Below are 23,866 nucleotides of genomic sequence, written 5' to 3'. Positions count from 1 at the left end.
TGGAATGAGCTCAGCTGATGAAAGGGCTTAACCAATGCAAGAAGCCAAGGCCCACTTCATTCTTATCTTTAGTTGCTAATAAGGGAGCCAATTAGTGTTAATTGTGTTGGCAGTTTGGAACAGCTACCAGGGAATAGATCCAAGACCATTGTGGGATGACCCCTCTGTCCCATCTTAAGTCCCAGCCATTACTCATGGTTGGATAGGGAATTGGAGCACCAGGAGGTGTTCTTTGGTCAGCGAGTAAACACGAGTTATCCTTCCACACATTTACAGTGCCCTGGGTGTCAGTTTTTAATACTGTGCATGCAGTGACCTCACAATACAGTTCTACCATTGAGAGAGACATAGATATGGATGGATCAGGACTAGTCCAAAGGAATACATTTTAACATTGGAATATTCACAATCTTCCCTCCTTTCCACCCAGCCTGCCAAAGACTATTTTGTTGACAGTCTGATTTCCTACCTGCAACCCTCACCTAAAGCAGCTAAGTTAATCTATTTAATAAAGGGAAGGGGAGAGAGGAGGAGGAAGCCTGGGAGCTATGAAGGATGCAGGTAATAGGCAAGGGAAGAAAAAGAGATATGAAATTGCTGGAGTTATTAACTTGATGACCCTCAATGTCCTCGGAGAGTCACTAGGAAGGATGGAATTTTTATTATTTACTTATTTATTTTGCTTAACCGACTGTTGTTTAAACACGACGTGGTTCATTGGACAATGCGCACCACTGCTTCATCAGGGTTATACAAGCAACAGAAATAGTATGTAGGCACTCTGACAGACATCCCTGTAGAATTGTTCAGAGATGGGGGTGGTAGGAAGGAAAATGACGTACCTTCTTTGGCTGTCACCCACCCAATGACTGGAATGCCTGTTTGGACTGGCTTGTCCGCCCTTGAACACGCAAATCCTAGTTTCCCCATTCTCCTATATTCGGTGACAATTAGGTTGACTGTGCAGGGTGAGCTGGATTTTGTAAGAGGAAGGAATTTTACCGAAGAATTCCCCTGCGTTGTTACCAACTTGGTTACAGTTGCTTCAAGAGTGTAGCTATTCCTGCATTTGTGGCCTCAAGGGCTAAAGTGGGACAACGCTGGTATTTTTGGTGATGAGGAAACACTTTTTTTTTGTTAAGGGAGGTTGGGTGATCGTTGAACTGGGACAGAGGTCACAGCAGAGGTCACATTGGCGATTCGAGCGGCGGTGGGGGGTTGGCTTTGGGTCGGGCATCCTGCGCCCCCCACTCGGGAAAGGTGGCGGAGACTTCGAGGTTGGGGGCCCATCGAAGGTTCCCACCGCCAGCTCCCGGAGGGGGGCACCCGGGAGCCAGCGCCTCAGGAACCGGGGCCCACGCGGGAAGGTCGAGCCCGCCGGTGAGGTCACGGTTGCCATGGCTCCGGGCAGTGACGCGCGTCGGCACGTGACCCGCGGTTGCCATGGAGCCGGGCGCCGGTCGGCGAAAGCGCCCCGCCTCCCCGAGTGACGTCCGCGGCCCCCCCTTTCCCGCCCCCCCTTGCCCCCTCCCCCGAGCCGGCTCCCCGCGGCCCCGGAGGTTTCACTGCACAACAAGATGGCGGCGGCGGCGGCGAGCGGAGCTGGCGGGGCTGCCGGGGCCGGGACTGGGGGAGCCGGGCCCGCGGGCCGCCTGCTGCCTCCGCCCGCGCCGGGGTCCCCAGCCGCCCCCGCTGCCGTGTCCCCTGCGGCCGGCCAGCCGCGTCCCCCAGCCCCGGCCTCCCGCGGACCCATGCCCGCCCGTATCGGCTACTACGAGATCGACCGCACCATCGGCAAGGGCAACTTCGCGGTGGTCAAGCGGGCCACGCACCTCGTCACCAAGGCCAAGGTACCGGCGCAGGGGCCAGGCGGCAGTCGGAGCGTGGCGGGGCCGGGAGAGGTCCGCGCCCCCCAGCCGGGGGGTCGGGGCGGCGAGCGCGGCGCGTGGTGGGAGCGTTGGGGGCCGGGAGGCGGGAGGGAGCCAGCCGCGGCGGGGCGGGCGCGGAGCTAGGGACACCTGGGACTCGAGACGGCGGAACTCCAAGCAGGGGGCCGAGGGCACAGAGCACCGGCGCCCAGGAGCCGGGCGCGGGGAGGGGTCCTCGGGGCTGAGGGCAGGCGGGTAAAGGGGATGATTGGAAAGAAGGGGTCGGAACTCCCCGAGGGCCGGGAGACTGTAAGCCCAGAAGACTCTGGAACCAGCAGCTAGGGAATCATAAGGGAATGAGGGCAGGGGCATATGAAATGTGGACCCGGAGGATGGGGAAAAACAAGGGTGAAGTGGCAGACCCGGGCTTGTAAGGGGACCCAGGACGGCTGGGGCACGGACTGGGAATGTGCACGTCTGCAGGGCGCTGGGAGGTCCCAGGATCCTGGTGCCTTAAGACAGAGACAGGAATCCGCATTTGATCATCTAAGACTGATAGATGGTGCGAAGGGGATCCCGAGGAGACACGATTAGTGGAGGAGGCAATGAGGAAAATGGGGAAATAAGGGGGAAATTGCTTTGCTTGTCCACAGGAAGGGGCCCAGGGAATGGGGGAGTGAGGTGGGGGTGGGGGCTGTCCCAGGTTTATGATGGCACTAGGTAGTCAGGGGTTAAACAATTTGGGAGAGCTGATTGCTGGTTATTTTTAGTTGTTGGAGGGTCGGGAATTGTGGGCTTTGTAGAACCCAGGGTGGGCTTTTACTGGTTGGGGGGAAGCTTGTGATTGAAGAACCCAGACACCGGGAGATTACACTCATCGAGCCCTTAGTTCTCAAAGGGATTTGAGGCGCTATAGGAGTGAAATTGGCCAAGGTCAATTAGGAAGCTATATATGTATGCATGTAAAATTCTTTGAGGAAATATGGTAGCACTTTCATGTAGCCTTCGTTGGGAGGACTGGAATCTAAGACATCAGGAGGAATCTTTTGGTTTTGGTGGAACCCGCAAAGCCCATTTTTACTCTAAAATTTTCTTTGCTCAATATCTTACTTGAATGAATACTTTTAATGTAGTCATTCATTATGTTTAGAACTGCAGCTTGTGTTTTCCCTCAGCCTGAGGAATGAAGAACCCTTACAGCTGCTGCCGCCTCCTACCAAAGCCACATCAATTCCCCTCACCTCCTCAGCCTAGCCTCTGGTTGTCATGACCTACCTTGTTTTTGCTTTTTTGGCAGTGGCTTGTTTTCTGAAGCCAGTGACTTATCTAGGCCTTCTCTCCTGATCACTTGCAACCTGAAGTTCCTTCCCCACCATCTTTCTGCCTGAGGCTACAAGGGGCCCTTCTTACCAGGGTGTCAGGGTGGGTGGCTGTGGCGAATTGATTGGTCAGTTTCACTTCCTCTGGAGGGCCCTCTTCAGCCTTTTTGTCCGTTTTTATCACAGGGCCTCCAGTCTGCAGGTCAGAGCTGAATGAGATACCAAAGTCCAGGGCTCCCTCAGACCCTGAGGGGAAGTCAGGGGAAGTCGATTGAGCCAAGACTTTGGTGTGCTCCTCACTTGCCACCCCAGCCCCTCACCGTGTTTCCAGTCTAGTTGACTATTAGCCAAGGCAAACTTACATTTACAAACAATATGCCTTGTTCCTTGTTTTGCTATTTCTTTCCTTTTTTTCTGCCTATTTTCTGTGTAATCACTTTGTGCTCCTGTGGTTATTTTGCTCTGACCTCTGGGGGATAGTCTCCATGAACTTAATTGGTTGCCTGGTTTATGGTTTCATGATTTAAAGAATTTTGAATCTTCCAGCCCTTGGATACACCAAAATATTGATAAAATCTGTTACAGACAGGGTTGAATGTTTTCGTAAATGTAATTGCAAACAGTTGATTCTTGGCTTTAATATAAAAGAGACATTTCTATCTTCAGTAGTCAGCAAAGCCAGTGCCTAATTATGGCTGGTCTGCCCGCTTTCTAATTTTCATGTGTGTGTATATGTGCGTGCGTGTGTTTTTCATAGTTTTTCTCTGAGACCTTGGTATCCTTTAGGACTGCAGCATTTTAAACACTGGCTTGTTTACAAACGGGTGTCACTGTTTATGTTGGTTTTTATCTTTGATCATTTGTGGTATGCAGTTGTGCAATTCCTATGTATGGAAATATTCAAAGTCTTGAATGAGACTGAAATGGCTTGGACAATGAGTTGCATGTGTGAAGGAGCCACACCAGCATTCATTTGTGTTTCTGTAGCAGTGTGCAATTTCCTAGTTACAGTTACAAGTGCTATATCTTTTGCTGCTTAAATTACTCTGACTACATGAGTGAAGCTTAATTCACAAGGAGTTGTCACGTGCTCTGGGTGAACTAGGAGCATATTTTGGCCTGCTCCATGCTTCTCTGAATCCACTTTGGAAGGGGTTCTCAAATGCGGACAGCTTAGATGTGCCTAACAGCTGTCGACATACAGTACGATGGCCTATTAAGGTTATGGTTTGGTTATATAACAATGGTGAAGGTGCATAGGTACTAGAAGTTGCCGAAGCTGCTGCTTCAGTTAACTCAGGTTGATTTTTTTTCTCCCCATGCACTGCAGCCTTTATCTTACTTCTGCAGAGGGGTCATTTGGAAACAGAGAGTTATTTTTTTCCCCCATCTGTCTCCAGAATGTGTCATTTGTTGTTTTGTCTTTTAGAGGTGTGTGATTTTTTTTTCCCCTTGTAGGAAATGGTCTGGGTTTTCTTATAACCATATATAACAGTCAGACAGAGGTAATTCAGATGATACTTGTGTTGGCTGAAGGAGGTTAGGTAATAGGTATTTTCTGAACATTAGAAATAATTATGATCCCCCTCCTTTTTTTTTTTTTTTTTTTTTTTAAACACACATGACCCATTCCAAGAACTAAGAGACTAAAGTAAACCTCATTTATTGAGTAGGATACTGCACTCCATCCAATACTGCGTGGTTAAGCTGGCCCTTTCCCAAATTCTGTTAACTCTCAAACCGTCTAGAGTGGGATCCTGGGATGAATAAAATCAGTAGAGAAAAGTGAAGCTTTTCCTATTTGGTTGTTGGTTACTTTTGCAGCACGGCATTCATGAGCTCAGACTTCATATTGGCAGCACTGCAGTGCTTAGAGCGGCACTGCAGAACAGTTACCAGGAGAGAATGTTCAGCTGTGACATACTTTGGTTAGTAGCTCACCCTGGCTGTCTTTGTCCTACCTGCTTTGATTTCCTTTTCTTTGGAAGAGCCTTACTTAGCCTGAGGTTCTCTGGCTCTGTTTTTTTTTTTGGTAGGAAACTATAAAGTATTACAGATATTTTTAAAAAAGAATGTTTTCTGCTCTCAAATTGCAGGTAGTCTGTTGCCTGTGCCTAATTATACCTTCACTAGTTGGATGATTGGGAACAAAGAGTAGATAGATTTTGTATGCATTTTTTTTCCTTTTTTAAAATATTGGGGCAGGGTCTTACTCTGTCACCCAGGCTAGAGTGCAGTGACACTGCCAGAGTTCACTGTAACCTCCAACTCCCAGGCTCAAGAGATCCTCCTGCCTCAGCTTCCTAAGTAGCTGGGACTACAGGCTTATACCACCACACCAGGTTAATTTTTAAATTTTTTTTGTAGAGATGGGGGTCTCATTATGTTGCCCAGGCTGGTCTTGAACTTCTGGACTCAAGTGATCCTCCTGCTTCAGCCTCCCAAAGTGCTGGGATTACAGGCATGAGTCTGTAACCCAAATGCTTGGCCCATATGCATTTTTTAAAGTATGCATGACTATAAAAGCCTTTGGCCAAATACGTTTAAACTATATTTCAACAAATATATATCACTTGCCTGTTATTGGTTTGTGGTAAGAGTTCCAGCTTTGGATAAAGCAACCTGAGTTTGAATCTTTTGCTGCTTAATAGTTGGATATTTTTAGGCTGTGAGAAGTTATTTAACTTCTGTGTGCTTGGGTTTCCTCATCTGTAAAGTGGGATGACAGTAGTACTTACCTCACAAGTTTAGGTGTTATGAAGATTAAAGAAGATAGTGTATGTAAAGCTCTTAGAGCAGCATGGTGCCCTAATAGCATGACGTAAATATTACCATCATCATCATCGTTATCAGATGTTTTAGTAACATAATAATATTATGGACATAATAATAGTCCTCCTTTTTTTGCTTCTCACCCCTTGGGCACGATTCATGAATGTATATGCCATTAGTTTTGTGTAGGTAGATGCCATCCTGACGATAGACTTTCCTGGTAAAAAAAAAGTTTGCTACTATTGCAGGTGCCACTTTGAGATAGTTGGATTTAATTTGTATAGGGTACAGGCTGGCTAATCTCATGAAATCAGCATTTTAAAACATAAATTTTCATTAGTTAAACTTTTTTTTTTTTTTTTAAATAGCAATGTGACTTATCTAATGAAAACTGTGACCAACACTGGCTTTTGCTTTGGGCTGCCTTGAATTTTCAGTGTGTTTTGTGTAACTAATTTTTGTTATGTTGATGATGGAACAGAGTTGAGTGCAGTCTTTTCTCCAGAGGTCCACTTAAATTAGGTTTAAGTGAAATATTTAAGAAATGTTTCTGCAAGCTTAAGGACACATTTGCCCTTGCGTGCACAAGCAAAGGCCTTAGACGGCCAAGGTCAGAATTCTTAACTTTAAATATTACACAGAGAAGACATTTTGCCCTATGACCCCTTTCCAAATATTGACTAGCCAGACACATCGGTGTGGTTTAGTGCAAACTCATTTCCATGAGGAGAACAAGTCAAAGTGGGCTAAAAGCATTATTTTCACCTCTAAAGAAGAGTTTAACGAAGCACATGAGATGATGCTTTCACCCATTAGAAAACTGAAAACAAGATTCATTTGGTAAGTAGGAGAGAATTATGTCAAAAAGAAATTGAAAGCAGAATTTACATTAGATACATTTGAGGAAGATAGCCCCATCCCTAGACAATCTAGAAGTGACTATTGAAAGATGATTATGTTCAGTTTGATACAGTGGTGATGGGGTTGCTAAACGTTTTTGAAATTTTGTAAAGAGCTAAGACTGATTGAGACTAGTCTCTCCAGAGTCAAAATACCAGTATTCCATTTTCTACATCAAAGATGTTTATTTTAACATTTTGACTTTGGTGCCAGCTCCCTAGAAAGTCATAGATCTCGCTCAAGCCAGAGGTGCCCAGACTAGTTATTTCTGTGCCAGAAGTGCTGTTTTCATTTTTCAGGCTTCAGTCTGGCTAATGTTTTCTAGTTCATCGCGTAAAAGAGAACAAAATGGATGCTTTGAAAAGAAAAAGAAATGCTTTCTACTCACCAGAGCCACTGTAACTGTAAAACAACACCTAAGACATCTGCATAGAGATGGAACCTTTCCCTTAATCATTTATTCATTCAACACATTTATTGAATGAAAATTTTTTGTCAGGTTCCATTCTAGGGTCTGGAGTGCACCAATGAACAAGGGAGACAAAAAGCATCTGCCTTTCTGGAGCTTTCTAGTAGAAGGAGACAGACAAGGGACATGTAAAAAAATTAAAAATTTCATATAGGAATGAATACCAGGAAGAAAATAAACGGACTAGAGAATCCCTGGGGGGGGCTGCTGCCTCAGATAGAGTGGTCAGGGAAGACCTTTCTTTCCAAGATGATGATATTTGAGCTGAGACCTGAGTGATGAGAAAAAGCCAACCTGGGAAGATTTGGAAGACAGAAGATTCCTTACAGAAGGAATGGCATGTGCAAAGGCCATGGGGCAGAAGTGAGTTTGGTTTGGTCAAAGATTAGACACAAGGTCATGATGCCATGGTACCTTAGCAAACAAGTGGAAGGATGGGAAAAGATGAGGCCAGACATGTAGGAGGGGCCAGATCATCTGGGTCTTATGGCCATTTTATGGAATTGGGTGTGACACGGGGGTGACATCAGAGAGTATCAAGCAGAACACTAATATCACCTAATTTATGTTTTTAAAACGTGGCTGGATGTGGTGGCTCATGCCTGTAATTCCAGTGCTTTGGGGGGGCATGAGGCAGGAGGATCACTTGAGGCCAGGAGTTCAAGACCAGCCTGGGCAACATAGTGAGATCCCATCTCTACAAACAATTTAAAAATTAGCTGGGTGTGGTGGTGCGCACCTGTAGCCTCAGCTACTTGGGAGGTGGAGGCGGGAGGATCACTTGATCCTGGGAGTCTGAGGCTGTGGTGAACTATGGACACACCATTGTATCCCAGCCTGGGTGACAGAGTGAAACCCTGTCTCAGGAAAACAAACCAAAAGAAAAACAGCAACTCATGCTGGTTATTTTATGGTTAAGAGCAAGAATCCTTTTCTGATGCATTTCTTGGCACAAGGGAGGAGTTCAGTTTTAACAACTTATATTCTTTCTCACTGTAGAGGAATATTGACATAAATTGCACATAAATTAAGCATGATCAACTAACAAGTATTTGTTGATTTATTGGGCATGAAAAAGACCTTAGAGAGGTTCTATTCTAGTTCTGTCTTCTCCACAGTCTGGAAAGACAGACTTAACAGAATTTATAATCTCAGGTTTTGCCTGGCATGGTGGCTCACGCCTGTAATTCCAGCACTTTGGGAGGCTGAGGCAGGTGGATCACCTGAGGTCAGGAGTTCGAGACCAGCCTGGCTAACATGGCGAAACCCTGTTTTTACTAAAAATACAAAAAATTAGCCAGGCGTGGTGGTACATGCCTGTAATCCCAGCTACTTGGGAGGCTGAGGCAGGAGAATTGCTTGAACCCAGGAGGCAGAGGTTGCAGTGAGCCGAGATCGTGCCGTCGCACTCCAGCCTGGGCAACAAGAGTGAAACTCCGTCTCAAAAAAAAAAAAAAAAAAAAAGAAAAAAAAAACCTCAGGATTTTACGGACTTTTAAAGTCATTTAGACCAATTATCCATTAGATTCATGGCTCATCTCTCTCCTCACTCCCATTTTCCCGGAGTCTTATAGGTAGTTAGTGGGGGAGCTGGAGTTAGAATCCAGTTATCACTACTCCTACTTAATTCTACCCTGACTTCTCTAATCACAGAAAACAGTGCCCTTGCCTTCTGAGCACTTGCTTTTTTACTGGGGAAGCGAGATACACCTATACCAATTAAAGTCTAAGATATTTATCCTTTCTATAAGACAAACCAAAAGCGAGATGTCATGATGAGAGGAAACATTTCCGAGTAGAGAGGAAGAGTAAATATTCCAACCCTGTATTTCACCTGTCCTTTGGCATTATACCACTCTGTCACCTTTGCCACTAACTTTTAGTACCCTATGGGTCCACTGCTTTGCCTTTAAATCTGCTAGTCAGATGCCCCTTGGCATGACTGAGATATGAAGAAAATGAAAAGGGAAAGAAGTAAACACAGCATGCAATGACCGTAAAAGTAGTCTGCCTTACGTAGTTTTCTCATGTCATTATATCTAGCTAACTCCTAGGGAATATTGGTAATTATACATTTGTTCTGCTGGGCTGGTCTGATCTACCTTTGAGGGTATGTTTCTTAGATGGGCTCCTCACTTACTAAATGACTAACACTTTCCAGGGATGGTGACATCTTATAACTCATTAAGAGAACTGGTCATCTAGATATATACCTTGATGACACAGGTGAGGGTCAAGAGAACCATTTATATCAAGGGTTCCTCTTTTTTTTTTTTTTCATTATCCTAAGTAAACACAAGAAGGAATTCTTCTTAATATAGTTCTAGTTTCTGGTCTGTGGGCTATGGCTGTTCTCCAGATGAATGATCTCACCTATCAGGTAGGTGAGTCCCTGGTTCCTCCTAATAGCGAGTAGCTTGGTCCCTTTCTGGGATAATAATGTAGTCATACAGTCCCGTGGATGACTGATAACATCAAGAGGGTGAAAATTATATACATTCAAATGGGCTTTTATCCTAATCTAATAAAATATTGCTAAATAAATGGCGTAGGCAATGTCCTTGAGAAGTCTCAACAGTCTTGAATGAATTAGCTTGAAAGACTTCTTTTGGATCTGTTCAGAATAGAATTGCGGAAGCGAGTACGGAACTGTTGGATGAGCCATCAGTAAGTTATGTTAGGAACATATTTGTGTTTAGCAGGTGTGTGATCCGTGGTAGACAAGGAGCCTCTGGACACTGATGGTATTTTATCTCAGACTTAGGCTTTTCAAAGAGGTAGGAATCAGATTGTGAATACTTAGCCACATTTCCCAGAAGTTGAAACGGAAAGAGAAGCAGACTCATTGCCTGTTGAAGCTTGTCTGTGTGGGCTGAGCTCACTCAGTTGGATACTTTCGGCCAGTTATTTTAAACTAAATTTAGGTTTTGATGAAGTTCTGAAAAATTATCAAATTTCTGTCTAGTTTCAGCTCCAGCGCATGTTTACCAGCAGTATACTTTACTTTTCATAGCTCCCCCCAGAATTGAATGTGAAAATGTAGGTTAGTTGCCCACATTTCTTGAGACGGAATTTTTTGGAGAAGAAATTTTTTATTCCATCCATCCATCCAATAAACGTGCAAAATTATCAGAAATAGAAATGGATGATATATGGCCCAAAATTCAAAAGGTACAAAGGAGCATTCAGTGAAATGAAGTCTTCTTGCCACCCCAATACCTGAGTCACACAGTTTCTTAGTCTTTTTTTTTTTTTTTTGAGACGGAGTCTCACTCTGTTGCCCAGGCTGGAGTGCAGTGGCGCGATCTTGGCTCACTGCAAGCTCCACCTCTCGGGTTCACGCCGTTCTCCTGTCTCAGCCTCCAGAGTAGTTGGGACTACAGGCGCCTGCCGCCACGCCCAGCTAATTTTTTGTATTTTTAGTAGAGACGGCGTTTCACCATGTGTTAGCCAGGCTGGTCTCGATTTCCTGACCTCGTGATCTGCCCGCCTCAGCCTCCCAAAGTGCTGGGATTACAGGCGTGAGCCACCGCGCCCGGCCAGCTTCTTACTCTTATAAACATTTATTAAGGGCATCTCTGGATTAGTCCAAGTGCTAGATGCCGTTTATTTTCTGACAGTGCTTTGACATACTTGAAATTTCCAAGCATAATTTTACTTAAAAGTAAAAAAAGAAAATACCTGGCCAGATGCAGTGGTTCACGCCTGTAATCCCAGCACTTTGGGAGGCTGAGGCAGGAGGATCACTTGAGCCCCAGAGTTGGAGACCAGCCTGGGCAACATAGTGAGACCTTATCTCTGCAAATAATAATAATAAAAATAACCAGGGGTGTGGTGGTGCATGCCTGTGGTCCCAGCTACTCAGGAGGCTGAGGTGGGAGGATCGCTTGAGCCCAGGAGGTCAAGGTTTCTGTGAGCTATGATCGCACCACTGAACTCCAGCCTGGGCAACAGAGCCAGAGCACTTCTCAAATAAAAAAGGACCAAAGAAAAATACCTAACCTAACTTATACTGCTCATTAGGATGGCACAGTGTGATAATCTAATGTAAGCCCTGTGGGGGCCGGAATTTTAATCTGTTATTCACTGCTGTATTCCTTATGTTTCGTGCAATGTCTGCAGATATTCATTGAGTACATGAATATAAGGATTAAAAATAAGAGCTGAGTTTGTTTTTATACCCTTAATACATCTTTTGACTTTTACTATTGGAATTTCCTATCTATAGTTAAGATGTTAAAGAAAAGTAATTTTCTACCTTTTTCTCACAAATCTCCGAGTAAGGAGATTTCACAGCTTTTCTGGGCTAGTAATTGATTTTTGGCATATCTCAAACTTTTACTATTAGGAAGATCAGTGTATCTAAAGTAAGTCTTGCAATTTGAATTCAAATCCCTTAGTTTTTTGTTTTTTGTTTTTATATTTTTGAGATAGGGTTTCGCTTTGTCACCTAAGGCTGGAGTGCAGTGATGTGATCATGGCTCTCTGCAGCCTCCACCTCCTAGGTTCAAGTCATCCTTCTACTTCAGCCTCCTGAGTACCTGGGACTACAGGTGCATGCCACCATGCCCAGCTAATTTTAAAAAATTTTATTTTTAGTAGAGATGGGGGTCTTGCTATGTTGCTAGGCTGGTCTTGAACTCCTGGGCTCAAATGATCCTCCCTCTTTGGCTTCCCGAAGTGTTGGGATTACGGGTGTGAGCCATCACGCCTGGCCAACATCAGTTTTACTTTACCATAACATTGCTGTTATTTTTTGAATCTTTTTTATAATTTTATTTCTAGTTTTTCACTTTACAAATTTTCTGTGATAACCATTGTTGTGCACAAGTCTTTGATGTACTTCTGATTTTTTGCTCCGGATATATTGTTGAAAGGGAAATTACCGTGCCAAAGGGAACACATGCTTGTACGGCACCTAATATGTATATTGCCACATTGCTTTCCAGAAAGGCTGCACTAGAATTAACCTCCTGAGCAGTGTATGAGCAGGCTTGGCTCACTGCAAGCCACACTGGCTCTCTTTATCTTATCTGTCTCCCCATCTGCCTTTGTTGGCTTGGGGGTGTAGGGCTTTTAAGTCTCTACTACACCTCTAAACCTAGTCCCATAGATATAGTACAAGTCAGGAGAAGGTTATAGCAGCTGTGTAATCCATCTTTCCCTGTACCAAACCTGGAAGAGGAATGACAAGAATTCAAGTGTAAATCTAACCTTTTTTTGAGGCAGAGTCTTGCTCTGTCACCCAGGCTGGAGTGCAATGGTGCGATCTCGGCTCACTGCAACCTCCGCCTCCTGGGTTCAAGCGATTCTCTTGCCTCAGCTTCCCTAGTAGCTGGGATTACAGGTGCCCATAGCCACGCCTGGCTAATTTTTGTATTTTTAGTAGAGATGGGTTTCACCATGTTGGCCAGGCTGGTCTTGAACTCCTGACCTCAAGTAATCCACCCCCCGCCCCCAGCCTCTCAGAGTGGTGGTATTACAGGCATGAGCCACCGCACCCGGCCAAGTCTCACCTTTTACTTGCTTTTTATAAATCATCATTCTCTCCTGATCTTTGATAAAGGGACAAAAACCCAAACTGGAGAAATTGCTGAAGGGAAGAAGAAAGGTTAATGAGAAACAGACTCTTGATCACCCAAACCATTGATTTTTTTTTTTTTTTTTTTTGAGATGGAGTCTCGCTCTGTTGTCCAGGCTGGAGTACAATGGCGTGATCTTGGCTCACTGCAACCTCTGCCTCTCCGGTTCAAGTGATTCCCCTGCCTCAGCCTCCTCAGTAGCTAGGATTACAGGCACGTGCCACCACACCTGGCTAATTTTTGTATTTTTAGTAGAGACGGGGTTTCACCGTGTTAGTCAGGCTGCTCTCCAACTCCTGACTTTGTGATCCACCTGCCTCGACCTCCCAAAGTGCTGGGATTACAGGAGTGAGCCATTGCACCTTGCCTCTCCACTGACTTTTTTTTTTTTTGAGACGGAGTCTCACTCTGTCACCCAGGCTGGAGTGCAGTGGCGCAGTCTCTGCTCACTGCAACCTCTGCCTCCTGGGTTCAAGAGATTCTCCTGCCTCAGCCTCCCAGGTAGCTGGGACTACGGGCGCCCACCACCACACCCGGCTAATTTTTTTGTATTTTTAGTAGAGACGGGGTTTCACCATGCTGGCCAGGGTGGTCTTGAACTCCTACCTCGTGATCCACTCGCCTCGGCCTCCCAGAGTGCTGGGATTATAGGCGTGAGCCACTGCACCCAGCCTACCATTGATTTTTAAATAACTATTTTTTGGTAAACCAGCGTGAGAATTTCAGAGATTAATAAAAGTTGTAAATTGCTCCTCCCTCGTTTTAATGGTGAAAAGATAGTCAAGGAGATTGTGAAGGAGAAAGTTATATGAATAAATATGGTAATGCAGCAGTCCTATCATGTTTAAATTTGCTGTGTGCATTGTACTTTATGGGTTAAGAGATTTTCAAGGGTAATTGGGCCATATAGGATATTGTGCTTAGTATGTTGTGGGGTTATGACTGTGGAATTATCTGTGTTTTGGACATTTGGTGGTAACTGCTTTTCTTTTATCTCCAATAGAAGCCCTCCTATACAGTAAGTTTTGGTTATGATGTGCTTAGTTAATTGAGGGGAAAAACTGATAAAGCAGGAAAATCAGAAATATATATTCATGCATTAATCTTTTTTTGGTTTTTCTTTTTTATGTAGACGGAGTCTTGCTCTGTCGCCCAGGCTGGAAGTGCAGTGGCATGATCTCGGCTCACTGCAACCTCTGCCTCCTGAGTAGCTGGGACTATAGGCACATGCCACCATGCCCGGCCAATTTTTGTATTTTTTGTAGAGATGGGGTTTCGCCATGTTGGCCAGGATGGTCTCGAATTCCTGAGCTCAGGCAGTTCGCCTGCTTCGGTCTCCTAAAGTGCTAGGCTTACAGGCATGAGCCACCATGCCTGGCTCATGCATTACTCTTTTAAAAAGTATGTATTGTGGAAAATTTCAAACATAAATGAAAGTAGAGGGAATAATATAATGAACCCCTATGTGCCTGTCGCCTAGTTTAAACAGTTGTCATCTTGTGACCAATCTTGCATTTATACCTTTCCCACTTCCCCGCTTTTTTCCTGGATTTTGAAGCATATCCCAGAATCCTTTCATTTCATCGGTAGATATTTTGGCATGTATCTCTAAATAGATGAAGATTCTTTAAACAAACAAACAAAACCAAACCCCAGGGCTGGGTATGGTGGTTCATGCCTGCCATCCCAGCACTTTGGGAGGTCTAGGTAGGTGGATCGCTTGAGGCTAGCTAGTTCAAAACCAGCCTGAGCAGCACGGTAGTAGTGAGGCCCCATCTCTACCAAAAAATAAAAATAAGTGAGCGGTGGATGGTGGTAAGTGGCTGTAGTTCTAGCTACTTGGGAGGTTGAGCTGGGAGGATTGCTTGAGCCCAGGAGTTCCAGATTACAGTGCAGTAAACTATGGTTGCGCCACTGCATTCCAGCCTGTGTGACAGAGACCCTGTCTCTAAAAAGGAAAGAAAGAAAAGAGAGAGAAAAGAAAGAAAGAAAGATTGATTAGCACATAGGTTAATATCAAAATATCTTAACCTATGTTAACAAACATTAATGTTTTTTGTTAATATTAAATATTAATGTTTGTTAACATAGGTTAATATTTTGTTAACCTGTTGATGCAGGGCCAAGGCTTTTTCTTTGTGTGCCCTAGTTGGAGTTCCTTAATTTTGTTTCCATTAAATACACCCATAATTCATTATCTATAATTTCCAGTTTTGTTTGCTTTTTAAAGCAGAACATGAATTTAATGGCATTTGTGAAGCAATATTAGTACAGCATCCCTCTTGATTTTTATGACTCCTTCCCAGTCTTTTATACTCATCTCATTCACGTCTAATTTACTATGTCTTTTTAAGCATTTGATGAAGTTTTCATAGAAACGTATCTCCTTAATTTTTCATCAGTTTACATTCTATTTAATTAAATTACATAACTGTAATAATGAGCAACTGGTATAAATAGGTTTGGGAAAAAAACAGTTAATTATTGGTAAGAATATAACTTAATAACGGGAGGCTGGGCCCGGCGCGGTGGCTCATGCCTGTAATTGCAGCACTTTGGGAGGCCCAGGCAGGCGGATCACCTGAGGTCAGGAGTTCCAGACCAGCCTGGCCAACCTGGTGAAACCCTGTCTCTACTAAAAATACAAAAATTAGCTGGGTGTGTTGGTGCATGCCTGTAATCCTAGCTACTCGAGAGGTCTGAGGCAGGAGAATTGCTTGAACCTGGGAGGCAGAGGTTGCAGTGAGCCAAGATCCTGCCACTGTACTGCAGCCTGGGCCACAGAGCGAGACTCCATCTCAAACAAACCAACCACAAAAAAACCAAAAAACTTAATAATGGGAGCAGCAGAAGCTTATAAGAGTAAGAGACAGCTGTTATTAGTTGGGGCCAGTTTGCATGTTGGGGGCATTGGTTGCTTTACTGAGACAAGGAGAAGCATTGATTATTTTGGCAGGTTGGTTGAGTGAAGGTGGGCTAAGAGAGCTTCTGCGTTAATTTAAAATGATAAAGAAGTCAAAGCTGTTAGAAATTTGAGGACAAGTTATTTTATAGAATCTTTTATTATTTATAGTGTGTACTTCGAGGTGGTATTTTTGTCCACTTATGTTAGAATTTGTGTGAACTGAGCTGAATTTGGTAATGAGTCAGTGGTATTAAAAACTTGGTGAAGAAACTGGCCAAACTCTTTAGTTTAAGAGGTTTATATCTGTTCACTGCTAGTGTAGTGTTCTGTGGAACAAGTTGACATTTTCTTGTAGTAAGTTGTTTTCTGTTTCTGGCGGAAGCAATCTTGGTTCATATGCTGCAAGAAACAGAACTGTTTTTATTGTGGAAGACAGGAGCAGAGCTGTGTGTTTCTTATTAGGATGAGTTGGACACCTGCAGGATTTCTTCTCTCTTTCTGCTTCTTGCCTCCTGTTGTCTTTTCCTTCTGTTAGAATGTTCTAATATTGCATAAGCAGCATTCCGACAATAGTTGAATTTTTTTGGTACTTCATTTTTTTAAACTCTCAAAATAATGTTTTTAGTGATTGTATGTTCTTGGCTTACTTTCCATTTCTACATCAACAGGGATATTGTTATTCTAGTCAAATGGGGTAGTTGTATTCTGGCAATGATCTTTGGGTCCAAGTCAGCTGCAGAAACAACACTTTCATATATTATACCTAAATATCTTACATGTGTATGGTAATTCTGGGAGGTAATTAAATGTTGGGATGGTACTTTAGGATCTCTTTAAAGGATTTCACAGTTCTCAGGAATAAAATAACTTGTTTGAAGCATGTTACTCATTGGCCTTTGACCATGCAAAAGGGTAGCCAGTGATTTTAGCCTACTGCCTCTTCCGATCTCATTTTCCTCCTTTCTTTTGAGGCAGCAGCTGCATCCAGTGCCCTGCTCTAATTGAGCTCTTAGTAAAAGGGGTATTGTTATACCAAGTCACAACCTCGTATAGCAGTGAGGTTACATCAATGGTTGTTAGATTTTTAGGCCACGCATCCATTTTGGAGTCACATTAAATTTTGAAAACCAAAATTTAGTTGCATTACCTAAATTTCTCTTCCTTTTCTTATCCTGATACCAGGATAAGAATAGGTTTTCTGTTTTTCCAGCTCTTTGTGGAACCTTTTTGGCCCATCAGAGTTGCTTGCGACAATCTGTAGTTAAAGAACTGAGACTGGTGCGGGAATCGGGATGTTTCTGGTTCCAGTTTTTACTAGCCAGCAGTTTGACTTTGGGCAAATTACTTAACCTCAGGGGGCTTCCAGTTTCTCTTTAATTTATAATTTTTTCAACTGCTTTATTGAGGTACATTTCACAGACCATACAGTTCACCCAATTTTTTTTAAGTGTATTCATGGAGCTGTGCGACCATCACTATAATACATTTTAGAACATTTTCATTATCCTTAAAAGAAGCATGGTACCCATTAGCAGTCACTGCTTATTTCTTCAACCTCTCTTCTCAGCCCTAAGCAACCACAAATTAATTTTTATCGATTTACGTCATCTGGACACTTCATATAAATAGAATTATGCAGTGGGTGTCCTGTTGTATTTTACTTCTTTCACTTGGTGTAATGCCTTCAAGGTTCATGCATGTTCTTACATATGTTGGAATCTCATTATTTTTTTATGGCTGAATAATATTATGTTGTATGGATACGCCACATTTTTAAAATCAATTCATGAATTGGTGGGCATTGTTTCTACTTATTGGCGATTATGAATAATATGGTCTTGAACATTTGTGTACAAATTTCTGTGTGATCATGTTTTCATTTTTTTCTTGGGCATATACCTAGGAGTGGAATCGCTTGGTCATGTGGTGACTCCTTGTTTAAGGTTTTGAGCAACTTCCAAACTGTTTTCCACAGTAGCTGCCCCATTTTATATTCTTACCTGCAATGTATGAGGGTTTCTGTTCTGTCTACATCCAAAACTTATTTTCTTTTTTTTGATTTTAGCCATCCTAGTGGATGTGAAGAAGTATTGCATTGTGGTTTTGATCTACATTTCCCTAATGAACAATGGTAGTGAGCATCATTTCATGTGCCAGTTGATCATTTGTATATTTCCTTTGGAGAAATGTCTATTAACATCCTTTGCCCATTTTTGAATTGGATTATTTGTCTTTTTATTGCTGAGTTGTAAGAGTTCTTTATGTTTGGGATACAAGTCCCTTATCGGATACATGATTTACAAATATTTTCTGCCATTCTGTGGGTTGTCTTTTCAGTTTCTTGGTAGTGTTGTTTGCAGCACAAGTGTCTTTAATTTTGATTCTCTAGTTTCTTAATTTATATAGTTGTTTAAACTCTGAAACTATATGTTTTATTGAGATTATTTTCCTCTGTGCTCATTCTGTACTTTCTCCCATGTTCATATAGCTCTCTCTTTCCCGGGACGTTTTCTAGCCTCAAAGACTTTATTTTTTTGATTAATTTATTTATTTTGAGACGGAGTCTCGCTCTGTCGCCCACGCTGGAGTGCAGTGGCGCCATCTCGGCTCACTGCAAGCTCCGCCTCCCAGGTTCATGCCATTCTCCTGCCTCAGCCTCCTGAGTAGCTGGGACTACAGGTACCTGCCATCACGCCCGGCTAATCTTTTGTAATTTTTAGTAGAGACGGGGTTTCACCGTGTTAGCCAGGATGGTCTTGATCTCCTGACCTTGTGATCCGCCTGCCTCGGCCTTCCAAAGTGCTGTGATTACAGGTGTGAGCCACTGCGCCCGGCCTCTAGCCTCAAAGACTTTAAAAACATCTGTCTATGTATTTGCCTCTCTAATACATGTGTCTTACAAAATAATCAAACCTTACAAAATGTATAACAAAGAAAGTGAAAGTTCCTCATCTCTCCAGAGAAAACATTAACTATTTATAACCAGATTTTTTCCCCATTCACATGGTAAAAATTTTTTTTAATTAAAAAAGGGAACATACCACAATCTAGTTTGCCACTTGTTTTTTCATTTAATAGTATATCTCCAACATTATTCCATGTCAGTACACTTTGTCCTTGTCTCAATCATTTTAATGGCTGCAGAGTATTCTATTTTATGGATATACTATACTTTACATAGTAGCCTATTGATAGATTTTAGGGTTGTTTCTAGATATTGTTTTATTTTTTTGAGACAGAGTTTCTCTGTCACCCATGCTGGAGTGCAATGGCATGATCTTGGCTCACTGCAACTTCTGCCTCCCAGATTCGAGTGATTCTCCCACCTCAGCCTCCCAAGTAGCTGGGATTACAGGTGCGCGCCACCACACCCAGCTAATTTTTGTATTTTTAGTAGAGACGGGGTTTCACCATGTTGGCTTGGCTGGTCACGAACTCCTGGCCTTGAGTGATCCCCCTGCCTCAGCCTCCCAAAGTGCTGGGATTACAGGTGTGAGTCAGCGTGCCCAGCCCAGATTTTATTGTTTTAATTACAAATTTTACGTAAGTTGTTTCTGCACATTTATATTTGCACACTTGTGCTAGTGGTTTTTTTTTCTATTCCATTTATTTGCTATTGCAGTATTTACTATTCAAAACACGTAGACTTATTTTAAAAAATAAAAGAATTTTATTTAGTGTGACCTAGAGTCAACGTCTCAAAAGTTATGTATTCTTTTCCATCATGATATATACAATGTTCTGATCTTCTTTTAAAGCCAGAGTCTTCATTTTCTTGGTAATTGTATAGAATAATTTACTAGAAGTGGAATGCTTGGATCAAAGTATGAGTGCTTAAAATCATGTAAGATGTTGCCACATCACCCTCCAAGTAAGGCCATGCCAATTCACTCAGCTTGAGAGTGTATGACAGTGATTTTTCTGTTCTTTTTAACCCTGGCAAATAGCCTTTTTAGGGAATTAATCTGACAGGTGAAAAAATGTCATTTTATTATTTGTAGTTACTTATTAGTACATTCGAGCATCATTTAATTTGTCTGTTGGTTGTCTTTCTGCTTTGTCTACTTTTCTGTTGGGCTTTTGGCTTTTTCTTATTCATCAGTTGTCATAGCTTTATTATTATTATTAATGTTTTAAAAAAATTGAGTTGGAGTCTCACTCTGTCACCCAGGCTGGAGTACAGTGGTGCAATCTTGGCTCTCTGAAACCTCTGCCTCCCAAATTCAAATGGTTCTCATGTCTCAGCCTCCCAAAATGCTGGGATTACAGGCATGAGCTGCTGTGCCTGGCCTGTAATAGCTTTTTAATATTAGGGAAATTAGTTACCTTATAAAATATATTACTGATATTTTTCTTTGTCTTTTGACTTTGTGTGTGTGTCTAATATAAAATGAAAATGCTTTTATTTTTATAGTCAGATTTTTCTGTTTTTTTTTCTCTTTATGGCTTGCTTTTTAAAATTCTAATTATATAAAAATATTTACCCATTTTTTTCAACTACTTTTATGGTTTTGTTTTTAAATGTAAATCTTTGCTTCATGTGAAATGCATTTTGATATAAACCAAATGAGATAGGGGATGAGTTGTAGAATTTATTAGAGTTGTAAATTTACATTTATTTTTGTGATTATTAATGGCTTATTCCTACTTGACTGTAAGTCTCATGAGGGCAATGTATTGTGTTGTTTTGTTTTTCCCTTGCTCTTATTTTCAGTGTCTAGCACAATGCTTGCCTTGTAATACACCCTCCATTTATTGAATAAATGAGTCTAGGTTTTTCTCCAGGTCTCTAGCTTCTCCTGACACAATTAATTGCATAATTGCTCTTTTCCTTCTTGATTTAAAAAGCAACACTATCATTTACAAAACTCCAATAGATACTTAGGTACATTTCTGAATTCTAATCCATTGAGTGTGCTGTCTTTTCTTGCTTTGATACTGTACAGCTTTAATTATGATAGCTTTATACAACTTAAAGTATATTTGGGAGGCCAGCTTTAAGCACTCTTAAATATATTATACCACAGTTTGGGAAGCTCTATAATCTCCTTTATTAAACTTTTTGCTATACCTTTGGAAACATTCATTTAACTTAACAATTAAACACTTAATCCATTCTGAAAGTCAGCCTGCAAAGCAGAAATGATTTTTGGGGTGTTATTTGGTGTAAAGAGTTTTTTTTTTTTTAGGATATCATACTTAATTCTGGCATGACCTCTTTAGTGTCTTTTAAAAAACTCTCATTTTATAACTTTGGGCATTTCTAGAAAAGCAACATTTTTCTCACAGTTTTCTAATGCAAAATACACAGAGGGGTAGGTGGCAGAAAAGGTATCGAGATGATTGTGTTGGCACCCCACTGATGTCGAAGCAGATAGTGGAAAAGACATTACTTAAAAGTGTTTTGCAGATTTCGGGTTAAATTAAAAATATGACAATTTTAATTTAATTTAATTAAAAATATGACAATTCTCAGGCCGGGTGTGGTGGCTCACGCCTATAATCCCAGCACTTTGGGAGGCCAAGGCGGGCGGATTGCCTGAGGTCAGGAGTTTGAGACCAGTCTGGCCAACATGGTGAAACCCCATCTCTACTAAAAATACAAAAAAATTAGCTGGGCCTGTAATCCCAGCTACTTGGGAGGCTGAGGCAGGAGACTTGCTTAACCAGGGAGGTGGAGGTTGCAGTGAGCCAAGATCATGCCACTGCACTACAGCTGGGTGACAAAGCAAGACTCCGTCTCAAAAAAAAAAAAAAAAAAAAGGTGTTATGCAGATTTCAGTTTAGCCACCTTGATCCTCCCACCTTGTGCATGACACGTTACCTTCCTGTGGCATGCAGTATTTGACTGATTCATTGGATGTGACTTGCATTAAGTTCAGATAACATTGCTGAATAATCACTTTCTTATTCTTTAGTGTAGCCTCCTTTCTCTGTAGAACATCAGAAATTCTTAAACTCTGAAATACAGCATTCTCTTGGGATTTTCTGTAATGTCTTTCTCATGTAGGAACCAACTTCAGGGTCTTGTGAGCATCAGAGAAGTTTAAGGTCTAGGGAACTGAGCTAATGGAACAAGGCATGCCTAATGTGATAAAATCCTTGCTTTCTTTGCAATTGAAATTGTTTATTCTAAATAACTGCTAATTTACAAATGTATTTTCACATGATTACCCATTCTGTTCTCAAAGAGCATAATAGGGGTTTTGTGACTTTCAGACTTTCCTGAAAAAGCCTAACCGTGGATTTTAGAATTATTAAGCTAGAAAAATACACACATACACACACAGGTTTGTTTGGGACCCTTAGTCTCCACCCTGGAATTAAGTGACACTGAAAATAACTCTGGAATAAAAGGTTTTTATGTAGCAGAATAGTTGACTTACAGGGGTTCTTCCCTTTGCACATTTTCTCTGGGTAGAAAATGAGCTTGTTTTTCTTTTAGTTGTATTACAATTTTTTTTTTCCTCAATGCTAGTCTTAACTGAGAGATTTTTAGGCAGTTAACTCTCCCAGCACAGCAATAAGCAGCTTATTAGTAGATATTATCTCTTGTTGATTTGTTACCCTTGAGATTTACTGTGCTTGCAAAACACCTGTCTGTATTTGAGCTTTGCTAGGTAGTTGGCTTTTGTGTTTGACTGAAGATTTTTTCCAAAGAAAGCAAATAGCTATTAGGAAAAGAAAGAGTCAGCAAATTTCTGTATGCTTTCATGGAAGAGATTTCCCAATTAGAAAGCTTTTGTAGGCTTAACCTTTTGCCCTAAAGTAACCCAACATTTCATTATGTATTCCATTGAGGTTTTGGAGCTCGGCACCAGAAAGCGAGGACCAAGGTTGAATGTGAAAGGAATATTCAGAGGATGAAGCTCATAGTCAACAAAGTGCTGCTTCATAGGCTAGGTCCAAAAATAACCTGCTTGCCATAGGGAGCAAGAATGGAGGTAGCATTAGCTGCTGTTTTGAGCAGTGTTTCATGTCCTGTCATGTCATTCCAGAATGGTTTTTTGGTTTTGTTTAGAGACAGGGTCTTGCTCTGTTGACCAGGCCAGAGTGCAGTGTGGTGTGATTGTAGCTCACAGTCACCTCAAACTCCTGGGCTCAAGTGATCCTCCCATCTCAGTTTCCTGAATAGCTAGGACTACAGACACACACCATTGCACTTGGCTAGTGGTTTTATTTTTAGTATAGACAGTGTCTCGGTTTGTTGCCTAGGCTGGTCTCAAACTCCTGGCCTGAAGCAGTTATCCTACCTTGGCCTTCCAAAGCACTGGAATTATAGGCATGAGCAGCCACACCTGGTCTCATTCCAGAATAATTAAAATTATGTTTAAGGCAGCCGGGTGCAGTGGCTCATGCCTGTAATCTCAGTACTTTGGGAGGCCGAGGCGGGTGGATCATGAGGTCAGGAGTTCAAGACCAGCCTGGCCAATATGGTGAAACCCCGTCTCTACTAAAAATACAAAATAAAAATACAAAAATTAGCCGGGTATGGTAATTAGCGGGTGCCTGTAATCCCAGCTACTTGGGAGTCTGAGGCAGAGAATTGCTTGAACCCGGGAGGTGGAGGTTGCAGTGAGCCAAGATCGCGCCACTGCACTGCAGCCTGGGTGACAGAGTGAGACTCCATCTCGAAAAAAAAAAAATTGTGTTTAAGGCAATATCATTTAAAATTTTATTTTGGGAGAATGTTGCCTTGGTAAATTGGTAAATAACAGTTGTTCTGAAAGGTTTCGGAAGAATGCCTTTCTGCTAAATTGAAGAAATTAACATAATTTACTCTTCTGTAAATAGGGGGATGGTCTGCATTGTGCTCATTTAATCATTGGAGTTCAAATTAATGATTTGCTGGGGTCCTGTGGTGAATCTTGAGTGATTAAGAGGGAGAACTCAGTCCTTGGTTCAGAAAAGTTAGCATTGGAATGGATCCTCAACAGGCCCTGAAGGTAGGAAGTGTTCTGATTTAGAGAGCTCTTCCAAGGCTTGTGATGGAACCCTGCAACGGTAAGTTTTACGAGTATCAGTAACTGGCCGGGTGCAGTGGCTCACAC

At 42.3% G+C, this 23,866-nt stretch overlaps 1 protein-coding gene and 1 long non-coding RNA gene across 16 annotated transcripts in view, besides 3 other annotated features; both read left to right on the top strand.

Annotated features, from left to right (window-relative positions):
- Positions 1,377-1,556: a silencer, noted in NCBI's record as "silent region_3930". NCBI's record gives its function as "represses an Ori minimal core promoter by ATAC-STARR-seq in GM12878 lymphoblastoid cells {active_cell/tissue: GM12878}" and the evidence as "EXISTENCE:reporter gene assay evidence [ECO:0000049][PMID:35858748]".
- SIK3 (SIK family kinase 3) overlaps positions 1,565-23,866 on the top strand; it is a 255,027-nt gene continuing 232,725 nt past the window's right edge. For all 15 annotated transcript variants that reach the window (XM_017017424.2, XM_047426672.1, XM_005271482.5 and 12 more), the window contains exon 1: positions 1,565-1,850. In XM_017017424.2, the coding sequence (XP_016872913.1) occupies positions 1,578-1,850 (273 nt within the window). In that variant the 5' untranslated portion in view covers positions 1,565-1,577. The remainder of the gene's footprint in view (positions 1,851-23,866) is intronic.
- Positions 1,637-1,686: a silencer, noted in NCBI's record as "silent region_3929". NCBI's record gives its function as "represses an Ori minimal core promoter by ATAC-STARR-seq in GM12878 lymphoblastoid cells {active_cell/tissue: GM12878}" and the evidence as "EXISTENCE:reporter gene assay evidence [ECO:0000049][PMID:35858748]".
- Positions 3,008-3,057: an enhancer, noted in NCBI's record as "active region_5564". NCBI's record gives its function as "activates an Ori minimal core promoter by ATAC-STARR-seq in GM12878 lymphoblastoid cells {active_cell/tissue: GM12878}" and the evidence as "EXISTENCE:reporter gene assay evidence [ECO:0000049][PMID:35858748]".
- On the top strand, positions 11,215-23,600 carry LOC124902763 (uncharacterized). Its single transcript, XR_007062899.1, has 2 exons — positions 11,215-14,919; positions 15,002-23,600. It is a non-coding gene; the product is annotated as an uncharacterized LOC124902763 (long non-coding RNA).

The sequence above is a fragment of the Homo sapiens genome, chromosome 11, assembly GCF_000001405.40.
Source record: "Homo sapiens chromosome 11, GRCh38.p14 Primary Assembly".
In the NCBI taxonomy this organism is placed as follows: domain Eukaryota; kingdom Metazoa; phylum Chordata; class Mammalia; order Primates; family Hominidae; genus Homo; species Homo sapiens.
This window is presented reverse-complemented; position numbering and strand designations above follow the sequence as displayed.